Source organism: Homo sapiens, chromosome 12, assembly GCF_000001405.40.
Source record: "Homo sapiens chromosome 12, GRCh38.p14 Primary Assembly".
NCBI lineage: Eukaryota > Metazoa > Chordata > Mammalia > Primates > Hominidae > Homo > Homo sapiens.
The window spans coordinates 73,845,792-73,851,791 of NC_000012.12; the positions used below are offsets into that span (position 1 = coordinate 73,845,792).

The following is a 6,000-nucleotide window of genomic DNA, read 5'->3' on the forward strand; positions in this document are numbered from 1 at the left end:
GGCAGAGATTGCAGTGAGCCGAGATCGCAGCACTGCACTCCAGCCTGGGCAACAGAGTGAGACTCAGTCTCAAATAAATAAATATATATATGAATATAATCCCCAAAACATGAATCATGGCTAAATCTCTAAATATCTTTGGTTTTGGTTTTATTTTCATAATTAGTTGATGTAAAAAGAGTGATCAAGGAGAAAAAAATCTATTAAAAGAAATTCTAACCAAAATGTTACTTTTTCAGATTATCAAGTCTGCCGTGATGTCTATCTACATTTGGGCAAGAATACAAATGAAGGTTCACCTGAAAGTTATGAAGGAGGCTAAGAAATTGTTACATAATACGTAATATAATTTTCTACCATGTAAAATATAACTCTATAAAAACAGAATTGAAGCACATGTGGAATGATATGTTTTTTATGTCACTGAAAGTCCACAAAATATCAAATACAGCTGTATTTCAATGATATTGTACATGTCTTGGTGTTCCTTGCTGGAACAGTGATATCTGTATTATTAGAGATAAATATAAATTACTTCTATGGTTTTTATGGTTTTAGGTCTTAACATTTAAGTCTTTATTCCATCTTGAGTTAATTTTTGTAGAAGATGTAAGGAAGGGGTCCGGTTTCAGTTTTCTGCATATGGCTAGTCAGTTTTCCCAACACCATTTATTAAATAGGGAATCCTTTCCCCATTGCTTGTTTTTGTCAGGTTTGTCAAAGATCAGATGGATGTAGATGTGTGGCATTATTTCTGAGGCCTCTGTTCTGTTCCATTGGTCTATATATCTGTTTTGGTACCAGTACCATGCTGTTTTGATTACTGTGCCTTTTAGTATAATTTGAAGTCAGGTAGCATGATGCCTCTTTCTACTTAGGATTGTCTCAGCTATGTGGGCTCTTTTTTGGTTCTATATGAAATGTAAAGTAGTTTTTTCTAATTCTGTGAAGAAAGTCAATGGTAGCTTTATGGGGATACCATTCAGGACATAGGCATGGGCAAAGACTTCATGAGTAAAACACCAAAAGCAATGGCAACAAAAGTCAAAATTGAATTGGATCTAATTAAGCTAAAGAGCTTCTGCACAGCAAAAGAAACTAGCATCAGAGTGAACAGGCAACCTACAGAATGGGAGAAAATTTTTGCAATCTACTCATCTGACAAAGGGCTAATATCCAGAATCTACAGAGAACTCAAACAAATTTATAAGAGAAAAACAAAAAACTCCATCAAAAAGTGGGCAAAGGATGTAAGCAGACACTTCTCAAAAGAAGACATTTATGCAGCCAACAAACATATGTAAAAAAGCTCATCATCACTGGTCATCAGAGAAATGCATATCAAAACCACAATGAGATACTATCTCATGCCAGTTAGAATGGCAATCATTAAATAGTCAAGAAATAACAGATGCTAGAGAGGATATGGAGAAATAGAAACACTTTTACACTGTTGGTGGGAGTGTAATTTCAGAAGCATGTGCTCCTTGTGGAAGACAGTGTGGCGATTCCTCAAGGATCTAGAACCAGAAATACCATTTGACCCAGCAATCTCATTACTGGATATATACCCGAAATATTATAAATCATTCTACTATAAAGACACATGCACACATATGTTTATTGCAGTACTGTTTACAATAGCAAAGACTTGGAACCAACCCAAATGCCCATCAATAATAGACTGGATAAAGAAAATGTGGCACATATCCACCATGGAATACTATGCAACCATAAAAAGGGTGAGTTCATGTCCTTTGCAGGGACATTGATGAAGCTGGAAACCATCACTCTCAGCAAACTGATACAGAAACAGAAAACCAAACACTGCATGTTCTTACTCATAAGTGGGAGTTGAACAATGAGAACACATGGACACATGGAGGGGAACATCACACACCAGGGCCTGTTGGGGGATGGAGGGCTTGGGGAGGGATAGCATTAGGATAAATACCTAATATAGATGATGGGTTGATGGGGGCAGCAAACCACCATGGCACGTGTATACCTATGTAACAAACCTGCACATTCTGCACATGTATCCCAGAACTTAAAGTATACATATAAAAAAGAAATAAACATAAATTGCAAATTATTATATATAATATACATTTGTATTTCAGATAAATCACAAAATAATAATATTGTAATTGCTAATTTGTGATCATTTGTGTTCTGTTGACAATAATGCCCAATTATATATTTGAGTCATTATAATTCTAAGATAGTCATTAAGTAATTTCAATTTAGATATATTTTGCTCTATTGAAACAGGAATAACTGTAATTATCAATATAATTTTTCAGACCTTATATGAATTCAGATATTAACCATTGATATCATACTTAAAGTCTGTAAAAAATCATATATACTGATGGATAGAAGCTATTGAAATTTTTTATTATATGCAACTTTATTACTTATATTCCAATTTTTACTATCTATTAGCAATATATAAATCCATTCAGTACTTCTTAAATATTTTTAATTGTTTTTAAGGTATAGTATTATAAAGAAATCAGAAAATAGCTCAATTTACTATTTATATTTTTTCAAGGAAAATTTACCTTGATTGATAGTAGCCAGGAAAGAATCTGAAAATAATGATTGGGTTATTCATTTGGATTTTTTGTATATAATTCTTTTTCAGTCATGCAAGTAATTTTTGTTTTTCTGTTCTAATTTTCTTGGAATATTGAAATGTTACTTTAGTTGAATATTTCACATGTACTACCTTTGATTACCTTTTTTCTTTAATTTCTTTCTTAAAATTAAATAGCCAAAAGTTACATTTTTAGGTTTTTAAAACTTTTTATAACAATTTATTTTGCAAGAATTTATTGTATTTATGCTATCTGAAAAATTTATTGATTTTATTGTCTTTCCTCTTTATTAAACCGTGTCTGTTTCCTATGAGAGCAATGAAACAACTCAGGAATCTTTAATTTGGACATGATTGCAACAGACAAGAAAGAAGATTTCTCGGGGGCCAAAACAGTGTTAGGAGACTTGATGTTTTGATTATGTATGATTTCATGCCAGTTTTGACCATTAGATCCTGAGTAATATAGGCATCCATATGTTCTCTCATATGTTTATTTATTTTTTAACCTGCTTTTGAGATGTAGCACTCTCTAAAGCCAAAGCCTAGAGTAGAGAAGTATAGGAGCAGTTACAGATAATTCTTTTTGCCTTCATCATACCCATCCTAGACTGGCTGCCTGACTTCACTATCACTTACTGACTTGGACCTGGTATTTTCTTAGGACTGTTTATAGCGATAGCCCCTGTGATTGAGTTTTGAGAATCCTGTTGGTTTATTCCATTGTCTCAGATATTTTACTCTTGTGACTAACTTTGCTGTCTAAAATATGTTTGATGCCCTGACTACACCTGCTGCCAATTTGTCTCCTCCACCAAAAACTATCCTATTCAACTCTTGTTTCCTCCCCTCTCTTTGCTAAGCTACTACAGCTAAAATTAGCCATAATTTCTTTTAAAACACATAGTTTGCTTAATGTGGGCTGAAATAAAAATTGTGACAAGACATAAAATTTAATAAACTGTGATAGTACAATAATACATAGGAAATGTATTATTATTTCACTACCTATTGAAGGACTAAACTAATATTCAGTTTATTACCCAGATACTTCCATGCCTCATTTCTCATTTTTCATTATGAAACAAAGATCAAAATATAATCATTTAAATAGAGTTGAAATTCTATTTCACTTTGGAAAAAAAGTACACACTTTTAAATGTAGATCAAAGTGAATAAAGTCAATACAATGAAAGAATATAAGCTAAATACTTTTGAGAACAGAATTTGCATTGCCAAATATATAAAAGAATTTCAGCCTTAAAAAGAAAGGCTGTTATTGAGTAAAATGGTCTCTTATGTGGTTGCAATGGAAGGAAGTTTTCCATCTGTGTCTGGAATTAATAGCATCTGAAAAAAGAAATTGAATGCACAATGATTCTTCTACTTGGCAATATGAACATAGATATATTAGCTGTCTTGAGACAAAAAAACACCCAGAAGCAAAGAATATTAAATGAAACAATGGTGAGTTAGATAACTATTGTGAGCTACAGAGAGAAGATGGAAAGTTGTAATGCATTTATATGAAGCCAGGCACCACAACTAGCACTGGAAAGTGCTGTATGGAATAAAATTAAGAATGCTCTTAGCTAGCTCCCTTGCTAGTGACCTTAAGGAATTCCTTTAGAATAGACCAGTTTACAGACTTGATGGTATTTGCAAGAGGAAAATGAATGTAGGGAAGCACATAGGGACCCAGAAAATGGCAAGAAAAATAAAATCATTTGTTGGTAAGCCCTTTGACCATTGCATGAATGTAGAAATTTTTAAAAATAATGTAAAAACAAAACAGAAGATAGAATCATGATTTTTAGAAGAAATGAGACTCAAAGATCAGTTTATCTAGCCTCTCAATCATTAAACAAAGTTCTAGAGTAATGAGAATATATTTGTTCCAAGGAGAATATTGTTAATTAAAAAAATTTTAAGACTCATATTTTCACAAATCAAAACACTACTTAATTTATACCCTATATTTTTATAATGACTTTCAAGCTAAAACTGATGTGATTTCTAGGGGACTTAAAAATTTGTTGTATATGTGATGTTGTTATTAAAATAGCAATTGCTTTAGCTGAGTCAGTTTGCCTCTTACCTAGAATTTTTGCAGGAAAAGCTGAATTTAAGTAATTAAGTGTGACAGTTAACTATTGCACATAACTTGTTACCAATATATTTTATATATCAAATCCCTATTCAGATCATGTCAGAGGAAACATAATTTAACTGATAATATTTTTTAAGGATGAGGTATAAACACCTGCTAAAAAGGAAGCAGAAAATAACAATTTTTAGTGAGTATAGAAGTGTAATAATTTCTAGGGCATTTACTCTTTAAAAATATTTATGGGCCAGGAGCGGTGGTGGCTCACGCCTGTAATCCCAGCACTTTGGGAGGCCGAGGCAGGCGGATAACGAGGTCAGGAATTCGAGACCATCCTGACTAACATGGTGAAATCCTGTCTCTACTAAAAATACAAAAAATTAGCTGGGCATGGTGGCGGGCACCTGTAGTCCCAGCTACTCGGGAGGCTGAGGCAGGAGAATGGCGTGAACCCAGGAGGCGGAGCTTGCAGTGAGCCGAGATCCCGCCACTGCACCTCAGACTGGGCAACAGAGCGAGACTCTGTCTCAAAAAAAAAAAATATATATATATATATATATTTTTTATATATATAAATTCATATATATATGAATTTGATACTTAACCTGTATACTAAACTCTATAAAAAATATCAGTATTTTTAAATTTTTTACTTGTAATTTAAAAAACTTGATGTGAAGAATAAAGTGTGCCTATAATGACAAAGTACTTTTTAATGCATTTATGTAGTTACTTCATTTAAACTTGCTGATATGTTTTGGATGTTTGTCTCTTCAAAGTTTCATATGGAAATGTGATTCCCAATTTTAGAGGTGGGGCTTGGTGGGAAGTGATTGGATCATGGGGGTGGATCCCTCATGAATGGTTTAGCACCATTCCCTTGGTGATAAATGAGTTTCTCAAACAATTAGTTCATGTGAGGTCTGCTTGTTTAAAAGAATCTAGGACCCCCTGCCCTTCTCTCTCTCTCTCTGGCTCCCACTCTCTCCATGTGATGTGCTTGCTCCCCCTTTACCTTTCACCATGACTGTAAACTTCCTGAGGTCCTAGCCAGAAGCAGATGCTGGCAACATGTTTCCTGTACAGCCTACAGAACTGTGAACTAATTAATCTTCTTTTCTCTATAAATTACCCAGTCTCAGGTATTTATTCATAGAGATGCAAAAACAGAATGACACACTTGCCTAGTAAGAAATGTGTTGGTATTAAATGCGTTGTTTTTATTAAAAATTGTAATAACACTTTTAATTCATTTGCTCATTCATGGATGCAACATTTCAGTAGATATTTT

The 6,000-nt window shown here is 33.4% G+C and overlaps 1 long non-coding RNA gene across 2 annotated transcripts in view; it reads left to right on the forward strand.

Annotated features, from left to right (window-relative positions):
- Window positions 1-386, forward strand: part of LINC02445 (long intergenic non-protein coding RNA 2445) — an 87,521-nt gene extending 87,135 nt beyond the window's left edge. For both annotated transcript variants that reach the window (XR_007063369.1, XR_945092.2), the window contains one exon: window positions 240-386. This is a non-coding gene — a long non-coding RNA (long intergenic non-protein coding RNA 2445). The remainder of the gene's footprint in view (window positions 1-239) is intronic.
- The last annotated feature ends 5,614 nt before the right edge of the window (window positions 387-6,000 follow it).